Here is a 15,661-nt window from a genome sequence, read left to right on the forward strand (position 1 = left end):
ATTTTTTTGTAATTTTAGTAGAGACAGGGTTTTACCATGTTGGCCAGGCTGGTCTTGAACTCCTGACCTCAAATGATCTGCCCCCCTCGGCCTCCCAAAGTGCTGGGACTATAGGTGTGAGTCACTGCACCTGGCCCTTTAAAAACATTTTTAAAAGTATGTAGTCACAATTGAAATTTTGGGAAAAAAATTTCCCAATTTTTTGTAAAATTTCTGTAAAATTAAGGTTTACAATGCTGCATTGTCCTCTAATTCCCGTAACAGCGGTCTGGGCATCACAATCTGGATTTTGTTCCTGACAGTTCCTGGTTTACTGGGCTATAGTTTAGTAGCCTGAAGAAAAAAAACTCCAGTGGTTCTTAAATACATTTAAAACTCTTTGGGAAGAATGCATCTGAAAGGTGTGAAAACATTTCAGAATCCTGCTTAAGTGCGTTAAGTGCATGTTATAATGAGGAATATTACATAATAATAGGGATGCTGAGTAGTAGAGATATTGTGTTTAGGTCTGTTTTTGGAGACAAGGTCTAACAGTCTCCCAGGCTGGAGTGCAGTGGCGCCATCACGGCTCATTGCAGCCTCAATTTACCGGCTCAAGTGATCCTCCCACCTGAGCCTCCCGAGCAGCTGGGACCATAGGTATGCACCACCGTGTCTGGCTAATTTTTGTAGAGATGGGATTTTGCCATGTTGCCCAGGCTGGTCTTGAACTCCTGATCTTGAACTCCTGGGCTCAAGCAGTCCACCTGCCTTGGCCTCCCAAAGTGCTGAGATTAGAGGAGTGAACAACCACACCTGGCCTATTTAGTTTTCTTGTAAAGGTTTAAAAAATGTTTTTCATTGATTTAGTGTACTTACATTCTAATTTTTCTACCTAATCTTTTGAGAATCTATTTGGACAGACCATGTAGTCTAGATATTTATTACATTTGAAGGATGCAGAATCCATTCTGCATGTACTTACATGTACTTACAAAAACTTTAATAGCCATTATTTTACTGACAGTAATGCTTTAAGTAGTTGACTAGAACTTCTATGTTTATCTAATTTGCTTCATCAGTCCTGTGATTTTTCTGAGCTATTACAAAGGGAGAATCAATTGTGTAAAGTTAAAATTCTATCATGTGGGGATTTGTTGAGTGGAAGTCTGACTCATGTTCACCTCTTCCATCAGCTTGCAGCTGTTTGTGATGTGTTTGTGGAAAACTATGTCCCTGGCAAACTGTCTGCAATGGGCCTGGGATATGAAGATATAGACGAGATTGCTCCTCACATCATCTATTGTTCCATCACAGGTATTTCAACCCCACACCCTTGTCAGTTAAAAGGTTTTCCAGTTTCTGTGTTTTCTTATTGCTATAAGAAACCTTTTGCTGGCTTTTTTTTTTTTTGGAAGTTATTCTGTTTTCCTTTTTCCAAGGCCGTTTAGGTTGCTGAACTTACTTTTTTCTTTTTTCTTTTTTTTTTTTTTTTTTGAGACAGAGTCTCGCTCTGTTGCCAGGCTGGAGTGTAGTGGCGCGATCTCGGCTTACTGCAACCTCTGACTCCCTGGTTCAAGCGATTCTTCTGCCTTAGCCTCCTGAGTAGCTGGGATTACCAGGCACGCGCCACCACGCCCAGCTAATTTTTGTATTTTTAGTAGAGACGGGGTTTCACCATGTTGGCCAGGATGGTCTCAATCTCCTGACCTCGTGATCTGCTCTCTTCAGTCTCCCAAAGTGCTGGGATTACAGGCGTGAGCCACCACGTCCGGCCTTGGCTGCTGAACATTATTAAGAAACATTAACCTAAATGAATATTTTCATAAATTTATTGGCTATTTGTATTTCTTCTTTGAATTGTCTGCCTATAGTTTTGCTAAGTTTTATGTTGATGTTTTGCAAATGTTTACAAAATACTGTTATTAACTCTTGCATAGGTGAATTTACAGTTGAAAACAATTCTTTTTTTTTTTTTTTTTTTTTTTTGAGACAGAGTCTCACTCTGTCGCCCAGCCTGGAGTTTAGTGGCATGATCTCGGCTCACTGCACCCTCTGCCCCTAGGTTCAAAGGATTCTCCTGCCTCAGCCTCCTGAGTGTCTGGGGTTACAGGTGCCTACCACCATGCCTGGCTGATTTTTGTATTTTTAGTAGAGACAGTGTTTCACCATGTTGGCGAGGCTGGTCTCTAAATCCTGACCTCAAGTGATCCACCCACCTTGGTCTCCCAAAGTGCTGGGATTAGAGGCATGAGCCATCACTCCTGGCCTACAGTTGAAATGTTAATTGGCTTTAAGATAATAACATAGGAACCCAAGGTATCCCTTCAATATATTCAGAAGCACTAAGCCAAAGGAAGGAAAAGAGTGGCATAAAGTCTTCCAATTGTTCAGCCCTTGCCAGTGAACCTCTTATATATGCATGTATGTGTATGTTTAGGCTAAAGGGAAAAAGTCACGGTGTTACTTAGTTTTCTATATAAGTACTTAACTCTTAATTAGGGATGCGATAGAGAAAAGTGACTCATAACATAAAATGTTATATTAATAGTTTGCATCAGAAAAATTCATAATATTTTAAGTTTTTACTCAGTCATCCACCAAATATTTACTGCAAGCCTTTGATCTTCCAGGCAATAGACTCAGATTCTGGAATACAGGAGTGATAAAAATCCATCTGTGCTCTCTAGAGCATTTATATGCTAGGTTAGGGTGATAGATAGTAAATAAATAAGCACTTTTGTTTTTGTTTTTGGTAATTGAGTCTGGTAGTTGGCAAGGGGGTGGGGTGAGGATAAGTTATTTCAAACTGGTAGGTGAGAGAATGCCCTACCCATATGGTGACATTTGAGTAGAGACCTGCATGGGGTAAAGGAGTGAACCACATAGCTACTGGCGAAGAGGGTTTTAGGCAGGACAACACCAAGTGCACTAGCCACCACACCCGGGTAATTTTTTGTGTGTTTTTCATAGAGATGAGGTTTTGCCATGTTGGCCAGGCTGGTCTTGAACTCCTTGCCTTATGTGATTGTGTTATTCTATTCCCAGTTCCACCTGTAATGCAGAGCACATGATAGGGGTTCCACAGCCAACAGCAGTTTCTTTTTTGGAGGCAGTGTATCTCTCTGTTCCTCAGGTTGGAGTGCTTTGGTGCAATCTCAGCTCACTGCAACCTCCACCTCCTAGGTTCAGGTGAGTCTCCTGCCTCAGCCACCCGAGTAGATGGGATTACGGGCATGTACCACCTTGCCTGGCTAATTTTTGTATTTTTAGTAGAGATGGGGTTTCACCATGTTGGCCAGACTGGTCTTGAACTCCTGACCTCAAGTGATCCACCCACATCAGCCTCCCAAAGTGTTGGGATTACACGTGTGAGCCACTGTGCCCGGCCCTGATGATTAACTTTTGTACTGAATGACAGGTTCTGTACTTGGTAGATGATTCTTGGCCACTAGATCTCACTTTTTAAAATGTGCTGTTTTATAGATCCATAATCATATTTTCATTTTTCTGTCTAAACAATATTTATATGTGTGACAGAGTGAGGGAGAGATTTTTTTCCATCAGAATCTTGTAATCTAATGGAAATGTTGAGGTTTAAAATCTTAATATAGGTAAATTATCTTCTGAATTATCATATTACCATAAAAACGCTGCATAGCCAACAAATGCAAAATGCTATATGACAATAAGCATTTATTTCTGTTTCCCATGTCTGTGGTTGGCTGGGATTCAGTTGATACAGACTGGTTAGGTTTGGCTCCAAGTTGTGCATTGGGGGACTGGTATGCTCTGCATGTCTGTTATCCTCCTTGGATCAGTGGCCACCAAATGCATCTCCCCTCATAGGGAAAGGTGGAGTGCAAGAGAACAAGCCCATTTTCACCAGTGTGTTTAAAGCCTGTGCTCCCAATGCATCTGCTAACAAATGGAGTATTTGTCAAAGCAAGTCACATGGCCAAGTCCAATACCAATGGGTGGTGAAATACATTCTGTTTCAGAGGGAGGAACTACAAAGTCACATGGCATAGGGTGTGGGTTTCGAGCAGGATGACAATTGAGAATAATAATACATTTTATCACATCATCGAGTCAAAAAAAATGTTAGTCTACTTGGGAAGCCCACACTTCCTAATGATTCACATTTATAACTAACTGGTTAGGGTCAAAAGTTCTTCTGGGCCTTGACTTAATGATTGGAGAGTCTCTAAGTTTTCTTACAGTTCTCAAATTCTGTATTAAAATTTTAGTGTGGTGAAATGGCATTGGAGATAGATTATATAATTCAGTAGTTCTCAGACAAGGAAGAATGGTTCTATCATGTGCTTTTTAGTGATATTATGGAGGAATGAGAGGGTGATAGGCAGATATGTGTAGTCTGAAAACGTACCTCTCATTATTCTATAATCTCCTAATTCCCACCTCCTGACAGTTATTAGAATAACATCTATATACTCCGTTCTCCTTTATTTCCTGATAATGAAACAGATCCAGACCTAAGGTCACACAGCTATTTAATAGCAGATGGGTTTAAAACTCAGGCTTCTTGTCTTAGTAGTAAGTGCCTCTATGCTTTCCATACTTAGACATATCAATAAGTAATGACAGATTTTGTAATTAGGTGACACTGAACAGTGCTACTTGAGAATAATATATTTTTGCCATTTTCTTTCGCTTGTTAATTTTATTTGCAATAGTGGAAGTCATGAACAAATTTATTAGTCAGGGAGTCTAAATTTCAACAGATTCTTCTGGAAGCCAAAGTCATTCATGAGTTGTGAGTTTGTGTGCATATAAAGCAAGGTTCATCTCTTTTTTTAAAATTTGATTTTCTTGGCTGGGCGTGGTGGCTCATGCCTGTAATCCCAGCACTTTGAGAGGCCGAGGCGGGCGGATCACCTGAGGTCAGGAGTTCGAGACCAGCCTGACCAACATGACAAAACCCCCGTCTCTACTAAAAATACAAAAATTAGCTGGGTATGGTGGTGGGTGACTGTAATCCCAACACTTTGAGAGGCCAAGGCGGGCGGATCACCTGAGGTCAGGAGTTCAAGACCAGCCTGACCAACATGACGAAACCCCGTCTCTACTAAAAATACAAAAATTAGCTGGGTATGGTGGGTGACTATAATCCCAGCTACTTGGAAGGATGAGGCAGGAGAATTGCATGAACCTGGAGGCAGAGGTTGCAGTGAGCCGAAATCATGCCATTGCATTCCAGCCTGGGTGACAGAGTGAGACTCCACCTCAAAAAAAAAAAAAGTTTGATTTTCTTGGTAATCAGTGTGTCTGTGTGTGTGTGTTTTTTTTTTAATAAGACTGATTACATCAGTCTAAAGTTGCACATGTTGTGATTGAGATCCTAGACTTTCCTGATATTTCCCAATGGTATTGCTCTCTTGTCAGTGCTGTCCAAGCCCAAATAGTTTGTTCTCACTCACATGTTGGCCCTATTGCTGATGAGAGTAATCTTAGAATGGCTGGGAGATTGACTTTAATGCACTCTGACAGTTGTGTGGTTGAAATTGCCTCAGTCTATGAAATCTGGTCTGCAGGACAAAAATGCTAGAGTGATCACAAGGGAGGAAGGACCTGATTATTTTTATTAGCATGGTCCTCTTATCATTTCAGAGGAAGCTGAGTATGCACATTAGGGGGCAGTGTTTAAACAGCTATTATTCACTAGGAATTATTTTTGTGAAAAGGGCAGTGTTTCCTGTGTACCACTGGGTAGGAAGATTCTCTGAAGGACATATTTATATTTGTGAAGTGACCACTCTATATTTCTCTATACTTTTAGAAGTACAATGGTATTTCCCCTAACAATTTAATTTTAAGTTGTACCTTCTTTCCCTCGTATCTTCTGAACATGTTATTAATTATAAAAATTTAGCAGTAGGAATCCTCGCCACTACATTTTAAAATGTTATTTCTCCTGTTCTTGTTAATTTCATTACTCTTTCTTTCTGGAAGGATAAACATTTCATTATATTATTGACTAGACTGAGTTTGTAGTGGGAACACTGTACATGTCATTTAATGAAGTTTCTTTTTTTTTTTTTTAAAGGAAGAGGGTTTGAAAAGTGCCTTTTTTATTTTTGTGAATTCCTCAGGGACATTTCCTTAATCTCTATTTATATAGCATTACATAGAGTTAAAATCATACAAAATATATGTGTTTAAAATATGAAGACATACAAGGTAATGAATAGTACAAAATTCAAGAGAATGATTAACCCTGGGGAGTGGGGAGGTAGGATATGGGACAGGGAAGAGAGAACCACAGAATTTCAATTATATTCACAAAATAAACTGACTGGCTGGTACATGAGTATTCGTCATTCTGTATTTTATGATTTAAGTGAGAATAAAAGATTCAGAAATGCCCAAATAGCTCCCCTCCTTATTTCCTTCCTTTCTTCCCTTTCCTACCCCCAAACAACTATTTCTTGATCTTCTGTATATTCCTGGCTGTGTTGAGTGCTCAGGGCAAACAATGTAGACATTGTCCTTGCATTTTTAAGGAGCTGACAGCCTAGGTCAGAGACATTCTATAAACAAGTTAAAACATATAATAAATACAACATGTATTAGCAAACTATACTATTATGAAAGAATGAAATAGTACTGTGGTGGAGATTAACAGAGGAGGGGTTGCATGCTGTAAATGGGCTTGTCAGGGAAGGTTTTTTTTTGAGGGGGGTAACATTTAAGAGACCTGAAGGATGACAAGGAGCCAGCCATGTAATGAGCAAGGGGAGAAGTGATTGAGGCAGAGAGAATACCATGTGCAAAGGCTCCGTGGTAGGAAAGATCTAGACGCCTTTAAGGATCTAAGAGAAAGCCGAAGTGTTTGGAACACTAAAAACTGAGAGCAGTATGCTTGAAAAGATACTGCAGAGGTGTGCAGGGGCCATGACATGCTAGGATGGGTCTGAGCAGTGGAGGGGTAGGATCATAATCTTTAAAAGAAGTAGGATTTTTCAGTAGAATGCAGATTAAAAAAAAAGAGGTAGAATTCAATTCCTGGTTGACTGACTTCATTATAGGCATTGGAGATTGAAATGGGGCTCAGGTTTCACAGAGTAGCTATAAAGATAATTTTTTAAAGATTATTAAAGGCCCTCATAGTGTTTCAGAGTCAATAGCAGAGAATGGTGAGCCCAAATGGATGAGGCAAATTATTTAGCAACTGCATTCTACATTCATATCACAGCAACGGGAATACAAAACAAAACACTGCTGCAGTTGGATTCTTACGGCATGAGTTAGTCTGTGTGTGTGTGTTCTTATTTTCGGCATATTCACCACATAACTATAGCTTTAAAAAAAGATAGAATAATTAGAATAGGATCTGCAAATCCATACTGCAAATTCATAGATGTTTTGAAGGTGAGAAAAGACATTAAGACTAGAGAGAGGGAAAATAAGAAAGGAAGGAAGAGGGAATGAAGGAAAAAGGAAGGAGGGAATGAAGAAAGGAAGAAGAGAAGGAAGAATAAAATAAGAGAGGCAGAGTGGAGTAAAATGGGATAACAATCAGCAAGATTTTTTAAAAATTTCTAAAGACAGTAGTCTAGTTCATCTGGCGATGTTCACACTGCATTAAGTATCATTTTTAGACTGAATAAATAATCAATATGGAGATGATAGTTTAATAGATGATATTAAAGGGAACCCTCATAGTCAAAACAATTGAAAACTACTGGTCTAAATTATGAGTGTCTCTGTTGCACCCTCTTATATCAGGAAATATTTTTTCACCAGAGTTTCAGGATATTGTGGCCATCTGTCCAACTGTATAGACAGTGATCTTTAGTGAAAGTGTGGTTTGACATATTTACCATTTCATATTAAGCTCATTATTTAAAGAAATAATGACACCATCTCTGCAGGGGAAGAGAAACTTAGCATATAAATATAGGGTTTCAAAACACAGCCCTTGGAGCTAAGGACTGAGATTATATTTTGTCTGTAGACATGGACTGATTCCAGAAAATGACTTTATGCCTTTATTTTATTCCCCAACAGTATAACCTTTTATCTTTAAATATTTCTTTTTACCCATACACATATAACAGATGTGTTACATGAGTTGGACTTACTGGAGTACCACCAGATGCTTTCTTCTCTCCCAGCCCACCTCTGCAAACCTGCACTGTCCACTTATTCTCTTTGCTCATAGATGAAATCCCAGGCAAGTCCTATAGATTTTTTTTCTCCTCAGTTATTTCTTTTCTTTTCTTTTGAAACAGGGTCTGGCTCTGTTGCCCAGTCTGTAGTGCAGTGGTGCGATCTCGGCTCACTGCAACCTCTGCTTCCCAGGCTCAAATCATCCTCCTCCTCAGCCTCTCGAGAAGCTGGGACTACAGGTGCATGCCACCACGCCCGGATAGTTTTTGTATTTTTGGTAGAGATGGGGTTTCACCATGTTGCCCAGGCTGGTTTTGAACTCCTGGGCTGAAGTGATCTTCCTGCATCGGCCTCCCAAAGTGTTGGGATTATAGACGTGAGCCACCATGCCTGGCAGTTATTTCGTTTAAAGTATTAAAATGTTCAGTCCAGTCTAATATCAAAACCTCAGACTCTTGTCCAGTTTATGACGTCTCCTTTTCCCCAACTTCAGGCTACTTTCTTGGGAATGTGAAGAGGATGTGTGTGTGTTTGTATTACAGGTGCACATATGTTGCATGTGTGTGTGTTTGTATTATGTATGCACATGCATGCATGTGTCTGCATGTCTATGTGTTTCGGAAGAGCCTAGTCAGTTTCTTCATTATCCATCTTTTCCTATTGTTAGCTGCTATTTGTGGTTTTTTTCAGAATCAGGCCCTCCCAGGGAAGGGAAGCAAGTTAAAGGGTGCAATAAGGGTATGACTTGACTGGTGTAGTTGTAACCTGCAGTGGAGCCTTCTGTGTGCCTGAAGTTCTGTAGGTGGCTCTCTTTATGGGGAGTTTTGTAGTCTCCTCAGAGACCTCAGATTGTAGTTCTCCCACTTCAGTCCCTGTTTTTTGTGGTTGTCTATACACAGAGTCTATCTGTTATGATCACCTTGTCCTATAGGCAGCCCTCATGGGTAGAATTCCTTTTCAGATAAACTCCTTCTGCTTTCCTCATGGTGAACTTGGCCCATGGGGAAAAATCCTCCCTCCTCCTTGGCCATTGGCAGGTGTACAGTTTATTCCGAACTCTTAGCTCTGTTGCTTTTAGCCGATGTAGCCATAACCCCTTGCCTTTGGTATTCTTTCAGACACATGCCACAGGTGCTTAGGTAATTCCAAATTCCCAGAATTCCCAAATTCCCTTAGCTTGTATCAAGGTCTCTGACGCTTTTTTGGAAGTCTCTCTTGTGTGGCTTAAGTTAAGGGGAAAACAGCTTGCTCCTCTCTTATGACAGAATGAGATGCCTAGCATACAATAACAACTCTTTCCAAGGAAATTCAGCTGAAGGTTTTATTTAGCTTTTCACCTTTTCTCACATATCCTCAAATGGATGATAAGCTAATGGCAGCAAAACTGGTTTCATAATCTTTTAGTGTTATCTGTGCTAGTGTTCTGGCACTAGGACATTTTTTGGGGGTTTGAAGCCTCAGATGAAACTGAGAGAAGGAGTCTCTTTGCAACATTCTTTAAAGCAAATTTTGCTGAAGAAATATGTTTTTCAGGTAGTAAGGATTAACATTAAGTCGAGTGAACATGAGATAGCTGTCTTCAAAGTTTCTAACTATGGAAATAGAATATTTATTTAAGCCGGGCACAGTGGCTCATGCCTGTAATCCCAGCACTTTGGGAGGCCGAAGTGGGTAGATCGCTTGAGGTCAGGAGTTTGAGACCTGCCTGGCTAACACGGTGAAACCCCGTCTCTATTAAAAATACAAAAATTAGCTGGGTGTGGTGGTGCACGCCTGTAATCCCAGCTACTTGGGAGACTGAGGCATGAGAATCGGTTGAACCTGGGAGGCGGAAGTTGCAGTGAGCTGAGATCGCACCATTGCACTCCAGCCTGGGCATCAGAGTGAGACTCCATCTCAGAAAAAAAAAAAGAAAGAAAAAAAAGAATATCTATTTAATAAGATAAACATATTTTGGCTAATGTTGTAGATTTTCAACTATTTAAACCCAAGTGAAAAGGTTAACTTTTTCTGTATATATAATTTAAAAATATATTTTCCTGCTATAAAAAATCAATTGAAAGGTGATATTGAATTGTTACTGGGTATAAGAAACATTATGACAGTTTTCCTTGTGAATTTTTTTTTTTTGAGACAAAGTCTCACTTAGTCACCTAGGCTGGAGTGCAGTGGCATGATCATAGCTCACTACAGCTTTGACTTCCCAGGCTCACGTGATCCTCCCGCTTCAGCCTCCCGTGTAGCTGGGATCATAGGCATGCACCACCACAACTGGCTAATTTTTTGATTTTTTTGGTAGAGATGTGGTCTCACTATGTTGCCCAGACTAGTCTCAAACTCCTGGCCTCAAGTGATCCTCCTGCCTTGGTCCCCTGAAGTACTGAGATTACAGGCATGAGCCAGCCACTGTGCCCAGCCTACTTGGGAATTTTTTTTTTTTTTTTGATACGGAGTCTTGCTCTGTCACCCAGGCTGGAGTGCAGTGGCGCGATCTTGGCTCACTGCAGCCTCCACCTCCCGGGTTCACGCCATTCTCCTGCCTCAGCCTCCCGAGTAGCTGGGACTACAGGTGCCCGCCACCATGCCCGACTAATTTTTTCTATTTTTAGTAGAGACAGGGTTTCACTGTGTTAGCCAGGATGGTCTCGATCTCCTGGCCTCGTGATCTGCCCGCCTCGGCCTCCCAAAGTGCTGGGATTACAGGCGTGAGCCACTGCATCCGGCCTGGGAATTCTTTATGAAACTGTGGGATTAAGAAAATCTTGGAGCCAGGCACATTAACTCATGCCTGTAATACCAGCACTTTGGGAGGCCAAGACAAGAGGATTGCGTGAGGGTCAGTAGTTTGAGACCAGCCGGCGTGACATAGTGAGACCTCGTCTCTAGAAAAAATTTGAAAAAAAAAAAATTAGCCAGGCATGATGACACAAGCCTGTAGTTCCAGCTACTCAGGAGGTGGAGGTGGGAGGATCATTTGAGCCCAGGAGTTTGAGGCTGCAGTGAGCTCTGATTGCTGCAGTGAGCTCTGATTGCACCACTGCACTCCAACCTGGGTGACAGAGTGAGAACTTGTCTCTTAAAAATAAAAAGAGAAGGGCCCGGTGCAATGGCTCATGCCTGTAATCCCAGCACTTTGGGAGGCTGAGGCAGGTGGATCATCTGAGGTCAGGAGTTCGAGACCAGCCTGGCCAACATGGCGAAACCCCGTCTCTACTAAAAATACAAAAATTAGCCAGGCGTGGTGGCGTGTGCCTGTACTCCTAGCTACTCGGGGAGGCTGAGGCAGGAGAATCGCTTGAACCCAGGAGGTGGAGGTTGCAGTGAGCCGAGATTGCACCACTGCACTCCAGCCTGGGCGACAGAGCAAGACTCTGTCTCAACAAAACAACAAAACAAAAATAAAAAGGGAAAAGGAAAAAGGAAAATGTATTGGATTGGAACATGGATGAAGTGATTTCCCATTCTGTTAAAAGTGACAAAATTGGCCGGGCGCGGTGGCTCACGCCTGTAATCCCAGCACGTTGGGAGGCCAAGGTGGGCAGATCATCTGAGGTCAGGAGTTTGAGACCAGCCTGGCCAACATGGTGAAACCCCATCTCTACTAAAAATACAAAATTAACCGGGCATGGTGGTGCATGCCTGTAATGCCAACTCCTTGGGAGGCTGAGGCGGGAGAATCACTTGAACCCTGGAGGCGGAGATTGCAGTGAGCTGAGATCATGCCATTGCACTCCAGCCTGGGTGACAGAGCAAAACTTCATCTCAAAAAAAAAAAAAAAAAAAAAAGAAAAGTGACAAAATTGTTCATCTTAGAAGAGCTCTGCTGGGTGTAATTAGGGATATGCAAGTACCCTCTCATGACACAGCTTTGTACATAAATGTATGTGGTCTACTTCAATTCCCAGATATTTTTATTTTTCTGATACTATTGATTTAAAAAAGAGAAACCCAAAACTTTAACAGGAGATTGAGCTGTTTTTCTACATATTCTAAAATTCCAGAAGCAAAGAGATCGCCTGGGCCTAGAAATACAGTATAAATTTAGTATAGATCATTACCCACTAAGAATCAGTTGATTTCATCTTTGGTCTCTAATTTCTGATATATGGTTAGAATAGTTTCCAATTTAAAGAATCTCTTGGAGACTAGGGACCAGTAAAAGGAAAAAGATGACAATACTAGTTAATGTCACAGCAGTAGTTATTTCAAAACTTTCACAAATTGAATGTTTTATAGATCGTGCCAGATAAACATGCCAGGACTTAGCCACCATCCAAAAACCCTGTCATCAAAACTGAATTGTTTCCCCTTATGGTAATAGGCCTGGGAAATAAATCCATAAATTTAAAGAAGCAATGTTAGATAAGAAAAAAATTTTATACTTAAAAGGATAAAAACATACATGTCAGATAGTGTTTAGATAGCATTCATCTCGCTAATTATTTTTTCCATTCTTTGCATGTTTCTTCAAGCTAGCATTAGTGCAATACCACAACTTTCAGCCTTTTATTTGAACCTCAGTATATTTAATCACAAAGGTTAAAAGTATGTGGAGTAGGTAATAGTTTGAACCTGGAAAGATCAGGGATTTTGATGGAATACCAGATTGTGGAATCAGTGAAATCCAACTTGTAAAGAATATATTATGCACAAAGGTTTTTCAAGTGAAAAATATCAAAGTTTAAGAAATTTGGCAAACGTACAGTTAAGTTTATATGAGGGATTAGTTCCAGGACCTTCTGTGGATGTTCGAATCTCTGATATGATAGGCATAGTGTTTGCATATAACTTATGCACATCCTCCTGTATTCTTTAAATCATCTTTAAATTACTTGTAATACCTAATATAAAGTAAATGCTGTGCAAATAGTTGTTATACCTATTGTTTAGGAAGTAATGACAAGAAAAGAAAATGTACATCTTCAGCACGGATGCAAGTTTTTTCCTAATATTTTCAATTTGTGGATTGGTTGAATCCATGGATGTGGAACCCATGGATACAAAAGGCAGATTGTATTTGATTATAAGAAAGACTAGTCTGGTCAGGCACAGTGGCTCATGGCTGTAATCCCAGCACTTTTGGAGGCTGAGGCAGGAGGATTGCTTGAGCCCAGGGGATAGAGACCAGCCTGGGCAACATAGTGAGACTCTGACTCTATAAAAAATAAAAAAATTAGCCAAGTGTGGTGGTGCGCACCTGTGGTCCCATCTCCTTGGGAGGCTGACATAGAAGATTGCTTGAGCCTGGGAGGTTGAGACTGCAGTGAGCTATGTTGTGCCACTGCACTCCAGCTTGGGTGACAGAGCAAAGATCTGGCTCAAAAAAGAAAAAAGAAAGACTAGTCTAGCAAGCCACCAATTAGGAAATGGGCAAAGGACTTGAATACACATTGCTTCAAAGAAGACATACAAATGGCCAATAAGCACATGAAAAATGCTCCACATCATTAGCCATTAGGGAGATGCACACCAAAACCACAACGAGATACCTACCATCTCGCCCCCATTAAGATGGATACTATCAAAAAACCGGGAAACAACAAGTATTGGTGAGGATACAGAGAAATTGGTACCCTTGTGCACTGTTGGTGGGAATGTAAAATGGTTCAGCCCCTATGGAAAACAGTATGGACATTCCTCAAAAAAATTAAACACGGAAGCTGGGCGTGGTGGTTCACGCCTGTAATCCCAGCACTTTGGGAGGCCAAGGTGGGTGGGTCACTCGATGCCAGAAGTTTGAGATCAGCCTGGACAACATGGTGAAATCCTGTCTCTACCAAAAATACAAAAATTAGCCAGGCGTGGTGGCGGGCACCTGTAATCCCAGCTGCTCTGGAGGCTGAGGCAGGAGGATTGCTTGAAACCCAGAGGCAGAGACTGCAGTGAGCTGAGATTGTGCCAGAGCAAGACTCCATCTCAAAAAAAAAAAATTATACACAGAATTAGCATATGATTCAGCAATTTTATTTCTAGGTATATACCAAAAGAATTGAAAGCAGGACCTCGAAGGATTATTTGTACACGCATTTTCATAGCAGCATTATTCACAGTAGCTAAAACATCAAAGCAACCCAAGTATCCATTGACAGGTGAATAAATAAGCAATAATGATGGAATATTATTCAGCCTTAAAAAGGCGGGGAATTCTGACACATGCTGCAAGGATGAACCTTGAAGACATTTTGTTAAGTGAAATAAGCTAGTCAGAAAAGGTCAAGTACTGTATGATTCTACTTATATGAGATTCCTAGAGCAGTAAAATTCATAGAGACAGGAAGTAAAATGGTAGTTGCTAGAGGTTGGGAGGAAGGAGAGACTCGGGAGTTAGTGTTTAATGGGTATAGGGTTTCAGTTTTCCAAGATGAAGAAGTTCTGGAGATGGATGGTGGTGATAGTTATGCAACTATGTGAATATATTTAATGCCGGTGCACTGTACACTTAAAAATGGTTAAAACTAATTTTTTTGTTATGTATATTTTGCCACAATTTTAAAAAGTAGAGAAAAAAAGGAAAGAATAGTCTAAACTATAAGGTATTCCATGGAAGAAATTCAGATTACTATGTCACAAGTAGTAGAAAATGTTTTAATATGTCTTGGATCATGGTCTACAAATACAAATAAATATTTGACAACTAGGTATTGAATATGTAAAATATTCTCTTGTTCAAGAATAAATTGATTCTTTTTTTTTTTTCTTGCTCTGTTGCCCAGGCTGGAGTGCAGTGGTGCGATCTCGGCTCACTGCAACCTCCGCCTCCCGGGTTCAAGCAATTCTCCTGCCTCAGGCTCCTGAGTAGCTGGGACTACAGGTGCACACCGCCATGTCCGGATAATTTTTTTTATTTTAGTAGAGACGGGGTTTCACCGTGTTGCCCAGGCTGGCCTCGAACTCCTGAGCTCAGGCAATCCGCCCGCCTCAGACTCCCAAAGTGCTAGGATTACAGGCGTGAGCCACTGCACCCGACTGATTCTTACATGTTTAAGTTAAAAGCCCTTTATTTTAAGGATTTTGTTTTTCTTTTCAATCTGCTGCAATTAGTACAGTATAGGATACATACTTGTTATTTGCTTAATAATAAATTTTGACCAATATTTCATGTTTTTATCCTCAAAATTCTATTCCATACACATCTTCAGATTCTTACTGCTATTCACCATATTTTGTTATTCCATTGTAAATTGTCATTCCTAAAATTGTCTAAGAAATACTCAGAGGAATGAGTGATGGGAGTTTCAGTTGGTGCTTTCTGGAGAGAAGACTTGTCTAATAGAATGAATAGTTATAATCAGGAGAGTTCTAGGAGAGTTGCTGATGTTACTTCAAAATAAGAATAAAGGGCCGGATGCGGTGGCGTGACTCATGCCTGTAATCCCAGCACTTTGGGAGGCCGAGGCAGGAGGATCACCTGAGGAGGTCAGGAATTAGAGATCAGCCTGGCCAAATCCCATCTCTACTAAAAATACAAAAAATTAGCCGAGCGTGGTGGCACTTGCCTGTAGTCCCAGACACTCAGAAGGCTAAGGCAGGAGAACTGCTTGAACCGGGA

The 15,661-nt window shown here is 40.7% G+C and overlaps 1 protein-coding gene across 19 annotated transcripts in view; it reads left to right on the plus strand.

Moving 5' to 3' along the window:
* Nucleotides 1-15,661, plus strand: part of SUGCT (succinyl-CoA:glutarate-CoA transferase) — a 903,812-nt gene that overhangs the window by 58,760 nt on the left and 829,391 nt on the right. For 18 of the 19 annotated variants that reach the window (XR_007060157.1, XR_007060158.1, XR_007060156.1 and 15 more), the window contains exon 6: nucleotides 1,176-1,296. Coding sequence is in view for 16 of the 19 variants with exons in the window: in XM_047420840.1 (XP_047276796.1) it covers nucleotides 1,176-1,296 (121 nt within the window). In the remaining 3 variants the exon portion in view is untranslated. The remainder of the gene's footprint in view (nucleotides 1-1,175; nucleotides 1,297-15,661) is intronic. The other variant, NM_024728.3, reaches the window with a different exon arrangement.

This window comes from Homo sapiens, chromosome 7 (genome assembly GCF_000001405.40).
Source record: "Homo sapiens chromosome 7, GRCh38.p14 Primary Assembly".
NCBI classification, from domain to species: domain Eukaryota; kingdom Metazoa; phylum Chordata; class Mammalia; order Primates; family Hominidae; genus Homo; species Homo sapiens.